General features: G+C 33.0%; 1 long non-coding RNA gene across 4 annotated transcripts in view; it reads right to left on the reverse strand.

Annotated features, from left to right (window-relative positions):
* LINC00320 (long intergenic non-protein coding RNA 320) overlaps positions 1–15,205 on the reverse strand; it is a 60,519-nt gene that overhangs the window by 13,810 nt on the left and 31,504 nt on the right. Inside the window, exon 7 of one of the 4 annotated variants that reach the window (NR_109786.1) lies at positions 912–1,018. The exons of the other annotated variants lie outside the window; for them this stretch is intronic. This is a non-coding gene — a long non-coding RNA (long intergenic non-protein coding RNA 320). The remainder of the gene's footprint in view (positions 1–911; positions 1,019–15,205) is intronic. 4 annotated transcript variants of the gene reach the window in all.

Genomic DNA, 15,205 nt, shown 5'->3' on the forward strand with positions numbered 1-15,205 from the left:
TGCTTTTCTATCTACTATAATATCTACCCTAATATGAAGAATATAGGAAGTTATCAATAAATCCATTTTTGAAAAAAGGTGTTTACATTGTTCATTCTATTACATATCATTTATCTTCCTCTCTATTTTTATAAAACCTAGACTGTTAATAAGCCAACTTGAATACAGTTTAAATTAAAAGCTGACACTAAACAAAGTCTTTCTAGTTCACTTGCTCTCTCTCAAGCATGTGTGTCTGAATTTCCATGGAGTCAATAAAACAGAGTTATAGAGTTCACTATATCTTTAATCTTTTCCCTCTTGTCTACTAATTGCAAAGAAAGCAGACTGAGTCTAGATACTGTTAGGCTGTTTATAATTATCCACCTTTGCTTGACTATGCATCCTTTCTAGTACAGAAAACCAATCAACAAACAAACAAAAAAAACAACCAATTGTCACTGTGTGATTTATTTCCTAAACTAAACCACCATCAAACAGATAGCTACACAAATATAAGCACCACTTTTTAACAGGCAACATTAAGTAATGTGTGAAAAATAAGCTTTAATATTGAAAAAAAGAAGTAAGCCTAAAAAAATGTTGTAATGTGTGCAATCTACACCATTTCTGTTTTTAATTTAAGAGGTGTTATGTTTGAAGATTTACTGGTCCATTGTAACAGCAGAGCAAAAGGGTTAGAGGAGTACTTGGGGTCAACAAGATTCCAGTTTTTCTTTACTCTTTAAGCCACTTTTCTAATAATCATGCAAACTTGGGGAAAATATTTCATAAACCTAGTTTTAAAAGTAAACTCTTTTTAGTATTTGTTTTAGTTACTTTGGTTATATATTTGGAAGATCTTTTCGCAGGTTAATAGAAATACTGATTTGTTTCAGTGTCTCCCAACGTTAATATTTTATAAGTCTTACATGCAATTTGTGACATGACTTATTTAAAGTTAGCGGGAGAGCAGCCATCGTCCTTTGCCAATTCCAGTTCGCATACTAAATGCAGGCATTCTCATGCAGTACAGCACCTGCATAAATTTGAAAAATTGAGAATCATGAAAATGGTATTTCAATAGCAGTTCAGTTCAGCAAATGGACAAAATTTATCATGCGACATAACACCTTGAACAAGGTTAATGCCCTGTGGAAACCATATTTCCCTGAAAAAGATTTTGTTGTTGATGATGATGATTTTCAATAAACACATACATAATCCTTCAATTGCACATTTTTTTCTCTCATATCTAGATAGTGCTAAATTATAGGTCAATATCATAAAAAGAAAGAAAAAACTATAGCTACAGTAAAAATAATGTATAAGAGGCATGTAAACAAATAACACACATGCACAGCTAAATGGGAGAGAGCCAACAACTCTTTTTAAATAGTGAGTATCTGATGGAATTTTATTTTACAAAATGTGTTAATGCTTGCTAATGTTTTTAATATTTTTATCCATTCCCAAATTCAAAGGTAATGACAATTCTGACAAGACAAGAAATTATGATATAGTTACATGAATTATACAGCTAATAGTCATTTTGTGCTCTTTCTTTTTAACCAGGGAAAACTGTCCCATTTTAGTACACACACAAAGAGAGAGACACACAGAAAGAGTGAGAGACAGACAGAGAGAAGTACACACACATACACACACACACACACACACACACACACACACACGGAGTAAAATAGTCTGCCCCTACTGTCAAGTTAAAAATTATCAATTATGAGGAATTTGGCAAGTGTGGATACTTTGCAGAACTTGAAAACGTGTAATAAACTTTAAAAGTTTGTCTGTAATAAATGGTTTCTTGATCTGTGCTCCCATCCCATACTCATCCTCTCTTTCTCTCTCTCTCGTACACAAACCATAGAATTCTTTTCACAAGGAATCAAAGCAAATCAAATTACTGAAATTTCTGGAAGAGCTCAATCTTTCTTAGCACTGAAAATAACAGATATGGGCAGAAAACTTTATAGGGGACTCAGGAAATAAAATAAATATATTTTTGAACATAGCAATAATTTTTACTTGGCCTGTAAAAATTTGTAAAGTTTCTATTTTGTTTGATTGAGATGGAAGGGTTCATATGGTATAATTGGCCCCTATGTTTAAAATTGCACCTATATAAAATTATAATCTGCAAGGTAATTAACGTAGTACTTTGTAATTCCTATTTTTACAATTTTTTTTTTTTTGAGATGAAGTCTACCTCTGTTGCCCATGCTGGAGTACAGTGGCGTGATCTTGGCTCATTGCAACCTCCACCTCCCAGGTTCAAGCTATTCTTCTGCCTCAGACTCCTGAGTAGCTGAGACTACAGGTGCCCGCCACGATGCCCCGCTAATTTTTTGTATTTTTTAGTAAAGACAGGGTTTCACCATGTTGGGCGGGCTGGTCTCGAACTCCTGACCTTGTGATCTGCCTGCCTCAGCCTCCCAAAGTGCTGGGATTACAGGCGTGAGCCACCGTGCCCTGCCTTAAAAATTAATTTTTAAGATGCATGTTAAAAAATAAGCTTAAAGCAGCCGTTTTTCAAAGGAGAAGTCAAAATTCTTTAGGGGGATATAGCAACTACAGTTGTCCCAGTAATTGAGGGGAACGTCTTCCTCTTCAGCTTGATGACTACCAGGGAGATGACAAAAGAAAGTCTGGCAGGCTTTCTGCGACCCTTCTGCTTGATTTGATTTAACAATTATTTAAACGTTGATAAGTATCTCTGGAACTATTTTAGGAAATTATATTTGAACTTTGAATCTTTTTATTGTGCAAGAATGTATCTGTGATAGTATGCATAATTTTCTATACATATGTATCTTATGTGTATATATATGAATACACAAATGTATACAGATACATTCATGGGGGATATTGGAACTGCCTCAAGTGCACATATACACACACACACTCACTCTCTCACACACACAAACACACAAGTAAGCCTTCATTCAATGGTTTAAATTTCCTGTGGAATCTTGTTTAAAGGATTTTATGGCACAATTTTTGCACGTTAAAATGGCATAAGATTTTCTTTAATAACATTTTATTTAGATACTGTGAACTAGGTAGTATGAGAATATGATACATTTCTCATATTCAACTAATACAGGCAAGTCTAATCTTATTAACAGTGCATAATTGAATGTCTATGACATGCTAATAGGTAAATGTATTATTGCTATTAATACAAAAGTGACCTGAACTCTTATTACATGTGTAGCTAACATCCTGCCTATATAAGAAGAATATAGCTTATTATCCTGATGACATAGAATAAATATAAAAATAAAAACAATTTTATAGTTTGATAGATAGTGGAAAGACAGTATTTTGCTTTGGAAGTACTAAGAGATATGAAAGTCAATAGTGCCATCTTTGTACCATTTATCTTTAACTATTTCTTCTGTCAGATACTGGTGACAGAAAAAATGATCAAGATGTCTTTCTTCCCTCAGAAAATCTAGAGTCTTATTTTCATGTTCCCTATTTTCTGTCCTTCTCTCCCAAACATATTTTCCCTGCTTGCCAATATTTCACCTTCGTTTCTGGCAACAGACACAAGCACATTCATACAGCAGCATTGTAGAATTTCCTTAAAGCGACCTTGATTGTGTCAAGCATGTCAATGACAATACTTTTGTGGTAGTCTCTTTACATCCTAAGTAATCTAGGACTAGCTGTAGTCAGAGATAATTCATTTATAAGAATAAGAAAATGCTTAGGAGTCGATGTGTTTTCTCTAATGAATAGTTCAAAAATTCATTTGTTTTAGAAATAGATGTGTTCATTTATGCCTTTATTCACTTTAGAAATATTTATAATCTGATCTATCTGGGCTGAACACTCTGCTATGAATTTAAAAATCAGAGGATATGAGTCTAAAGTAGAGACAATTAAGTGAACAAGTAAAATATAAAGAAAAAAACGGCTACAGAAAATAATTTCAGACAGGGAGAGTGTGCCAACTCTTTCTGCAGTGTTGCAAGAAAGCTTCTGTGAGGAGGTCATAATTGAGTTGATTATTTAAGGTTGAGTAGGATTTTACCAGATGGTACCTCACATTGGGGATGTGGGAGGGGAAGTCACTTCTGCCAGAGGAGAAATCACATGAAAAAGCGTAGAAGAGAGAAAGGATAAAAATTTTAGAGACTTGAAGTATATAAGAAGAGACTTGTGTGTTAACACTAAGATACATAAATCCTAGACAATAGGAGGTATTTAAAACATAAAGTAAGGAAATGTCATCCTTAATTTTTGTTTCATATTTTAACTTTTAAATCCTTGAGTGAGCATTTTAATTTCGTGTTTTTAGTTATAATCCTCACACTTTATAGGGAAAATATTTTGAGTCATGTAAGATTGGCATTCCTCTGGAGTGTTTTCATAATATACTGAATCTCATTTGTCCTTTAATTTATCAGACTAAATTGTTATTTCTTGCTTATAGCTTTACATCCCTTGTGATTCAAGGATAAGAATGATATTTCTTATACACTTAGAGGGCCCCTAGGATTTCAAATACAATAAAATTGTAACAATTATTTGGTGTATAAATGAATGAATGATCCACTCTTCCTCTCTCTTTGCTCCTGGGAAGTACTTGCTCCTTATCCAGTATCTTACATCTCAGTAAAGGCCACCACAATTTAATCAATTGCTTGGGACATTTACCTGGGATTTTGTTTTTAACTCCTTTCCTTCACAACACACATTAATCCATGAGAAAATCCTATTAGTTTTTTTCTTCATATTATGTCATGAATTTAACAACTTTTCACATGCTCAACTATTGCCTGAACTATTACAATTTCTTACTGACTGATGTCCTCAGGTTACACTTGACAGTTCCCGTAGAGGAGTGTTATCTTTTAATATAAATGTAAATCTGATCACATTGCTGTGTTCCTCAACATGGTTTTTTTGGTTCCACATCTGTCTATGATGTAGAAAACTGAAAAGAGCATCATTCCCACTTAAACAATTAAAGGCCAGATACACTACAAAATTAACGCTTTCTTTGAACCCATAAGTCAATTTCTACTATTCCACATATAATATTTAACATTCAATAACAAAATAAGCAATAATTAAAACACAAAAAAAGGAAGAAAAAAGGATTACTAATAGACAAAGCAATCACTGGAACCAGACTCAGGAATGACCCCATGTTGGAATTCACAGAGAGACAATTTATAATAACTATAATTAATATGGTAAACTACCAAGTGCAGCATGGAAAAATATATGGGGAATTTCAAAAGATACAGAAAAGATATTTAAAAAGGTGAAATGGGGATGCTAGGCAAAACACAGACACTAGACACTGACAAACACACACACACACATCAGCACTACTGAGAATAGAATTACTTAATTGGAAGCCAAAGCAATATACGTTACACAAACAAAACATGAGAAATATAGTATCTAAAATAAAAGAACTGTGGGACAAAAACACACAGCGTAAAACACACAATATAATCTGCATGCAATTTGACAGAGAAGAGAAAGGATGGATGAGAAAAACAGGACACCAGACCCCCCCCATAAAAGCGCATTCACACACACACACAAAAATGAAACTCTGTGGAAACCGCTAATATAAAAGTAAATATAAAAATATTTGTTTTTCTTATGTTCAATGACTCTAAAACAGAGGTCCTCAAGCAGGAAAAATTTTGCCCCTCAGAGCGCATTTGGAAATCTCTGTAAACACTTTTTATTTTTAAGTTGGAGAGTAGGGGGTGCTACTAGAATCTAGTGGGTAGAGACAAGAGATGTTGCTAAACTATATATAGTACTATAACACAGGACAGCTCCCAACAACAAAGAATTACCTGATCCAAAATGTAAGTAATATTGGTACTGAGAAACCCTGTTAAAATATAGTTGATGTTCTAAAGGAAAATGATATTGTTTTATGTGGCTTTATAACATAGTTAAAATTAAAATGTGTGAATATAATGGCACAAAATTGGGATAAATGGATTGGAAATAGAAATCTGTGAAGTTTTACAATAAAGGTAAGATGACATAATATTATTTGAAGAAAGCCTGTAATATTAAAGATGATATTGTAAATCCAAAGGTAACCATTAATATTGTTTTTACAAAGATAATGTGTGGGTCCAAATAATAATGAAATATTGTAAATAATATTTAATAAAAAATAAACAAACACACGACTAATCCACAAGTGAGAAAAAATTTTTAAATGGAGGTCAGGGGATGGAAAAAAACAGATTGAATAGAAAGAAGTTACTAAGATGGTGGATTTAAATTCAACTATGTCAAAAATTATATTAAATGTAAATGGTCTAAATACAACAATTTAAAAATATAGATGGTCAAATCAGATAAAGCCATATTAAATACAAAGACATATACAAGATAAAAGTACAAGGATAAAAAAATAAATACCATGCAAACAATAAACAAAAGAATGCCATAGAGGCAAATTTTTAACTGACAAGCTTGACATTAGAACAAGGAATGTTATTAGCAATGAATTGTGACATTACATAACAATAAAAAGGTTAATTCACAAATAAAAATGTTTAAACTTTATAAATGAATAGAACTGAAACTAGAAATAGAAAAATGTACAATTATTGTTGAAAACGTGAACACTTCACTCTTAGTAACTGGTATACCAAATAAAGAGAACATCAGTAAGAATATAGAAGACCTGAACAATGCTCTCAATCAATTGACCTAATTAATATTTATACCATACTCATTCTAAAATATCAGAGTATATATTATTTTTATCTATACAGATCATATTTAAAAGATAGATGGCTTTCTCAACCAAACAAAACCACAAAAATGTCAAAATAATTAAAATTAGAGCAATTGATGTTCTAACTTTAAAAGAATTTAACCAGAATTCAATAGCAGAAATCTGAAAAAATCCCCTCAGATTTAGAAGCTGAACAATTTGTTTTTAAATGGCAGATTTGTCAAAAAGAAAGACACCAGGGGAATTGATAAATACTTATTTGAATGAGAATAAAAACATATTAAACAATATTAATTTAGTGTTTAGGGAAAATTTTACAGCCTTAAAAGATTACAATAGAAAAGAGGAAGGATAACCTCTCAAATAGAGGTTTAAATGTTCACCTTAAAAAACTTTAAAAAGAAGAGAAAATTCACTAGAATAAAGTGAAAATATACAAACAATGAAGAAAAGAGATAAACTAAATTAATTTTGTAAAAGAAAAATGATAGAGAAAATTTTGTGTAAAATCTGGTTATTTGAAAAGATCAACAAAATTTATAATCCCCTAGCTTAGAGGGAAAAAAATAAAGAAAGAATACATAAATCATCAATACCAGGAATGAAACAGTGGCCACTGTTATACATCATAAAGACACATTAGAAGTATAACAATACACTATGATAAAAAATTAATACCCCTAAACTTGACAACTGAGGTGGAACAGCAAATTTATTGAATGACAAAAATTACCAACGCTCACTCAAGAAGAAATAGGTATACTAAGTAGTCATAAGCCTATTACAGAAACTGAATTATTAAAATATTTTCTATAAAGAAAACTTCAGGCTCAGATGCTGTGAAAGCATTTGCCACCAAATTTTAAAGAAAAAATAATATAAATTTTCCAAAAACTTTTCTAGAAAATACAAGCAAGGAAAATACCATTCACCTCATTTAATGAGGCCATAATTATCCTAATAAAAAAAACTAATGCCATCTACCAAAAACATACAAATACCATATTGTACAAATATTATATGTAATGAAGAAAGACTGAATTCTTATACACAAAGATCAGAAACAATACAAAGATGATCATTCTATACATTCTTACCACTTGTATTCAAAACTGTACAGTGCAAAACATTGATGAGAGAATTAAAGAATATTTAAATAAAACATATTTGTGGATTTGAAAATTCAATATTGTTAAGATGGCAGTTCTTCCACAACTTATCTATCCATTCAATCCAAATACCATCAAATTACAAAAAATTGTTTGGCTTTTGTTTTTAGAAAACAACAAATGGATTCTAAATTTTATCCAGAAAAAGAAAGGAATTATAATAGGCAAAACAATTTTGAAAAATAATAAATAAGAGTAATCTCTTCAAAGACTCCCTTAAAAAATAAAGTAACAAGCCATTGACTGGAGTAAATTATTTACAAAACAAATTTCAACATGAACCTCTAACCAAAATATATAAGATATTCTCAAAAGTCAATAATAAGACAAAAAGTAGTTCAATTAATAATGGGCAAAATATTTAAACAGAGAATTGATTTCAGAAAAAGATACATGAATTGCAAACAAGTTTTTAAAAAGAGGTTCAATATCATTAACCTATATGGAATTACAATGAAATATCAATATGCTTGCAAGTTCACACAAAATTTTGGCTTGTGGTTTCTTCTAGAAATGTTAGCCTTAACTTTCCCACTGAATTTAGTGATCCATTTTGAGTAAATTGATAAAAGACACGGGTCAAGTCAATGCTTTTTAGTTTTCCATACTGAGATCAAATTTTCTCAGCACCACCTGTTGAAAAGGCTATTGTATTTCCATTTGAATTGCCTTTGCATCTTTATTGAAAATTATTTGACTAAATATATCTGGTCTATTTCTGGAATTTCTATTTATACCATTATTTTAAGCTTCAATCTTTTTGTCAATACCACGCTATCTTAAATATTGCAGCTTTATAATATGTTAGAATCAATTGTCATGACTCCTTTAATTTTATTATACTATTTGCTTTTACTTTTTACTTATTTTTTTCTCATGTATTAAAACACAAAATCCATAATGGCAAAGGCAAATATTGTCTATTTATGTCGATTTTGTTCACTCCATTTTTTCTAGTCACTAGAATAATGCTAGGCATATGACAGATGCTCAATGAATATTTGTTGAATGAACAACAACATATGAAAAGCCTTTTTAAATTAGAAGCACCATATGAATGAAGATATTTGTTATCATCGTAATTTTTTAAGAATATCAAGAATCTAAGACTGCTTAGACTTCTAAAGTTTTATGCTGCATGTTCTTTGAGTTTGTTTGTATGGACTCTTTTGGCAGTTGTATGACAGCTTTCATGCCCTTCTCAGAATATTTTTACATCCTTATAATAAACTCTTAAGAAAAAACCTACAAATATGTTGAAATAAAGACACAAAATAATTTATAAATTTTTTTGTTATACTAATATGAGTGTCTCACTCTTAAGTACATTAATATGTTTTAGCAAGATGCAGTCTAGTAATCATGATTGCAAAGTAGTGATGAATGTAATTACATGAATATACAATATCTCTAATGGGATAGTGCAAGGAAAATATGTATGATTTTCATTGGTAACAAAGTACTCCAAATACCACTGTGATCTGTTATCCTCAGTTATGATTGAAATAAAAAAGATGTTAAATTTCAGTTGAAGACTGGAGAAGGCAAATGTATAAGGTTTTTATTATTTTCCCATCTGAGTTTATGAACTCATTCAGGCGTACCTGGAAGATATTGCAGATTCAGTGCCAGACCATCTCGGTAAAGCAAATATCTCACTAAAGCAAATCACACAAATCTTTTGGTTGCTGGTGCAAATAGAACTCCTGTATACAATATATAGTAGTCTAATAAGTGTACGATGGCATATGTCTAAAAATGTATATACCTTAATTTAGAATATTTTATTCATACAAATTATTTAATAATCATGTGAGCCTTCAATGAGTCTTTTGTTGTTGTAGTTGTTGTTGTTGTTGATGGAGTGTGTCAACATAGATGGCTGCTGACTGATCAGGGTGATGTGCTGAAGGTAGGGGTGGCTGTGGCAATTTCTTAAAGTAACACAAAAATGATGTTTATCAGATCAATTGACTCTTCCTTTTAGGAAAGATTTGTCTGTGGCACACAATACTGTTTGATAGCATTTTACCCATGGAAGAACTTTCAAAATTGGAATCAATCTTTGCAAATCCTGCCTCTGCTTTATCAACTACATTATGGACTATTCTTAATCCTTTGTTGTCATTTTAACAATGTTCACAGCGTCTTCACCAGGAATAGATTCTGTCTCAAGAAACCACTTTCTTTGCTCATCCATAAGAAGCAATTCCTCATGTGTTCAAGTTTTAGAATGAGATTGCAGCAATTCCTTCACATCTTCAGGCTACACTGTCAATTCTAGTTCTTTTGCTATTTCTACCACATCTGCTGTTAATCCCTCTACTGAAGTTTTGAAGCCCTCAAAGTCATCCAAGAGGGTTGTGATCAACTCCATCCAAACTCCTGAAAATATCAATATGAATCTATCTCCCATGAATCACTAATGTTCTTAATGGTGTCTAGAATGGTGAATATTTTCCAGGAGGTTTTCAATTTACTTTTCCACAATCCATCAGAGGAATCACAATCTATGGCAGCTATAGTCTTACAAAATAAGACTTGAACAGAGAAATTACTCCTTGGTCATGGGCTGCAGAATGGATGTTGTGTTAGCAGGTATAAAAACAACAATCTCCTTGTACATTTCCATTAGAGCTCTTGGGTGACCAGGGACATTGTCAATGAGCTGTATAATTTTGAAAGGAATCTTTTTTCTGAACAGTAGGTTTCAACTGTGGACTTAAAACATTCAGTAAAGCATGTTGTAAACAGATGTACTGTCATTCAGCCTTTGTTTCATTTCTAGAACACAGGATATGTAAATTTAGCATAATTCTGAAGGTCCCTAGGATTATTGGAAAGGTCAATGAGCATTAGCTTCAACTTAAAGTCAGCAGTTGCATTAATCCCCACCAAGAGAATCAGTCTATTCTTTGAAGCCAGGCATTGAATTCTCTTCTGTAGCTATGAAAGTCTTAGATAGCGTCCTCTTCTAATAGAAGACTATTTTCATCTACATTGAAAATATGTTGTTTAGAATAGTCACTTTTTATCAATTATCTTACTAAATATTTGTAATAACTTTCTACAATTTCCACATCAGCACTTGCTGTTTCATCTTGCCCTTTTATGATATGTAGACAACTTATTTTCTTAAACCTCATTAACTGATCTTTGCTGGCTTCCAGCTTTTTTTTTCTGCAGCTTTCTTGCCTCTCGCAGCCTTCACAAAACTGAAAAGAGTTAGGGCCTTGCTCTGGATTAGGCTTTAGCTTAAAGGAATGCTGTGATTTGTCTGATCTTTTATCCAGACCACTAAAACTTTCTCAATATCAGCAATAAGGCTGTTTTGCTTTTTTGATCATTTACATGTTAGTGAAATAGCACTTCTAATTTTCTTCAAGGACTTTTCCTTTGCATTTACAAATTGGCTGTTTCACACAAGAGCCTTAGCTTTCAGTCTATCTTGGCTTTAGACATGCCTTCCTCACTAAGCTTTATAATCATTTCTAGTTTTTTATTTAAAGTGAGAGGTGTGTCCTTGCCTTTCACTTGAACACTTCGAGGCCATGGTATGGTTATCAATTGACCCAATTTTAATATTGTTGTGTGCCTCAGGGAATAGAGTAGTTTGAAGAGAAGGAGAGTGATGGAGGATATGACAGTTAGTAGAGCAGGCAGAACTCACACATTTATCGATTAAATGTGCCATATTATATAGGCACAGTCTGTGGAGCCTCCTCCCTCCCAAATTATAATAAAGCATCAAAGTTTGCTGATCATAGTTTATCATAACAGGTGATTTTCATAATGAAAATGTTTGAACTATTACAGGAATTATCAAAATGTGGCACAGAGACATGAAGTGAGCATACGCCATAGGAAAAATGTCACCAACAGACTAGCTCAATATAGAGTTCCCACAATCCTTCAATTTTCAAGGAAAAAAAAAAGAAAGAGGAAAGAAAAAATCCCACAATAACTTCAAAGGGTAATAAGGCTAAGTTCATTAAAACAAGATATGCCTATATTGTATTCATAAAACTATTTTTAATATATAATAGAATTATGTAATTCATAAAACTCTTGAATGACTTGAGACTCCAGATTAAGATTCCCCGTCTAATGAAAATGTGTGTTTCTTGAAATGCTACTCATTTGCAAGAGTAGAAGATACTGTCTTTAAAAATTTAACAACAATGATCGATATCATAGAATATCTGACTATATATATATCCACAGGAATTTTATGAAAGAATACAAGATAGTAGAAATAAAATTCATACAAATTTTCTTACTGTGAGTGAATCAGGGAGACTTCTCTTTCCCTACAAAATGGTGTTTGCTTTTAAAATAGGTATCTTGGGAACCGTAGCTATTTCACAGAAGAAAGATCTGAAACAGTCTAGTGCTTAGGTTTCCAGAGTTGGCTGCAAAACAGCTCTCTTGAAAGCTTCTGATAGAATCCAGAGATAAAGAGCCAAAGGTATCAGAGAGGTCTGCCAAAAGAGTCTATAGAATTGGAAGTATTTGTAGAGAAGTGTCCCTAAGGTCACTGATAAAAACTAGAGGATAGTCCACGGAGATAAGAAACTACCAAGCATAAGAGAATAAAAAATTTCTGCTGAGAAATACCGAGCTAATCCATCAACTTTATTTTTTTAGTCCTTTTCTATTTCACTTTTCTTCAATAAAGTCTTTGTTTTGACACTGTAGAAAGGTTTTCACAAACAGTTAGTAATGGAAAAATAAAACAATCCTTAAATTTACTTTCTAAGACAAGTTTATGCGCTACAAAAGAAGGTAGAAAGTTGACAGTTTTTACTATATTTGGGCTAACTATAAGCAAGTAGAGTTTACAAAACCATGGTGGGGATTTATGTAGTTGGTTCAACTAAATGGAATTCTGGCTTTTAGTGGAGAAAAAAGTAGAGGATACATTAGACAACCAAAATTTATTTCTAGGCTAAGTATGGTGGTTCATGCCTATAATCCCAACACTTTGGAAGGCCAATGGGGGCAGATGGCTTGAGTCCAGGAGTTTGAGACTATTACGTGCAACATGGTAAAACCCTTCCTCTACAAAAAAATATAAAAAATTAGCCAGGCATAGTAGTGTATGCCTATAGTCCCATCTACTCGGGAGGCTGAGGCAGGAGACTCACCTGAGCCTAAGAGTTTGAGGCTACAGTGAGCCATGATCATGCCACTGCACTCCAGCCTAGGTGACAGACTGTGACCTCATCTCAAAAAAATAAAACACAAAATTTATTTCTCTCATCCAAAAAATATGGCTTCATACAATATAACTCATTTAATAAAAGTTTATACATTAAAACTACTTTCTACTTAGGATGGATTATAGAATTGTGAGGGAAAGAATCAATATTTCTTGATCACTAATGTTTACCAGATATTTTACTTGGTGTAAACAAATGTACCATAAAAACTAATTGCTGAAGAATGATAGAAAAGACACTTTAGATGCATAAGAATCATAGAAAAGTCACTTTAGATGTTTGCCCCTAATATTCTTGGATCACTGGACACCACCTACCAAAAATAAAAACCTCAGACCATTACTCTGCTTAGGACTCCAGGAATCCCCAAAGTTAGAAATTTCTCATAAAAATCCTACTGTTTGATGGCCTATAGATCTCTGACCTAATTGTTTTTTTATCATGCTATTGACTCTTCAGTTGCTTCTATTCTGTATTAATTCATCTGCAGCAATCTGCTATATGAAGAGTGTTTCTGTTGTTTTAACATCACTGAACTATACTTGATCTCTGACAACCTTAGAGAAATTAGTCACTCTGCAGCCACAGCTTTGAGCTCGCCACCATCTTTGCCCATTTCTATATCTCTGGGTTTACTTCTCTCTTCAGAGCTTAGGAAAATAGATTCCCTTTACCATGCTTGACTAGTGTAGGAAAACATTAGAAAGCAGAAGATCTTACCACGCAGTTACACAGGTGTTACAGATCTTACTATGAAGTATTCTTTCCAGGATTCCCAAGGTGAGAATGTCGACAGGTTCAGGAACAACCTTATACTCTATCCAGAATGGCTGCTTCATGCTAGCATGCGGGCCCTCTGCTGAGTCTAGCTCCCTACCCCAGCGTTCTTTCTCTTTAATAGGCAAATTTTCTCTAAGGCAGCTCATTGTCTTTTCCTGTAATCCACATTTTATGGCATTTTATTCCCACCATCATTCTGTCAGATGTTTGTTTGTTTGTTTTGAGATAGAGTCTCACTCTTCTGCAAGATCTTGGTTTGCCCAGGCTGGATCTTGGCTCACTGCAACCTCTGCCTCCTGGATTCAAACGATTCTCCTGCCTCAACCTCCCGAGTAACTGAGATAAGAGGCATGCCTCACCATGCCTGGCTATTTTTTTTGTATTTTTAGTAGAGATGGGGTTTCACGATGTTGGCCAGGCTGGCCTCGAACTCCTGACCTCAAGTGATCCGCCTGCTTTGGCCTCCCAAAGTGCTGGGATTACAGGCATGAGCCACCGCACCCAGCCATTAGATGGGTTCTGAGTCTCTCTTTTCCATATTTCATGAGGACCTGTGACTAAATCTGGGAGGGTTGGGGTTAGATACAAGCCTAAAAATTATTACACATTTTATAATAAGGAGTTTGTGCTTGCCCAGAAAAATATTTGGTAATTCTTAGGAGGCAGACTAATGACATTGGCCAGCTTAACCAATTTATCTCAAACTCAGGGCAACCTGTTCCACAGTCCCTGACACACACATCATTTCACCAAAGTTCTTGCTATAACTCAGTGTTGTTCTTTAGAATTGTCATCTTATGTTTAATAATTTAAAAGATTGAAATCAAATAAGAAATGGCAAAATTTGAGCAAATAAGTTAGATGTAAATCCCCAAATACAGATACCATCATTCCAAATGTCATCCGCATCATAACAATTAATTGACTAAAAAGAATAATACGTGCAATGTTTTTCTTTGTAACCTCAGCACACGGACTAACACTATCAAATAAACTCAGACTGAGAATCTTTTTTCCTGAGTTAAAATCAGCATAATTTTGCTTTTAATTTTGGAAACTCAGGAGAAAAATGACCTTCCTTATTCATCCTGACTCTTTATCAAACTGTTCGATCTCTTTTCAATATTTTGTGGTAGGCTAGTAGTTATATTCATGGTCTCTGGAAACCACAATCAAACCTTATCCAAATTCCACGTCAACTACTGACTGAATGATTTGAGATGAAGTATTTAATATCTTTAACTTCACTATCTTTTTTTTTTTTTTGAGACAGAGTCTCACTCTGTCACCTAGGCTGG

Source organism: Homo sapiens, chromosome 21 (genome assembly GCF_000001405.40).
Source record: "Homo sapiens chromosome 21, GRCh38.p14 Primary Assembly".
In the NCBI taxonomy this organism is placed as follows: Eukaryota; Metazoa; Chordata; class Mammalia; order Primates; family Hominidae; genus Homo; species Homo sapiens.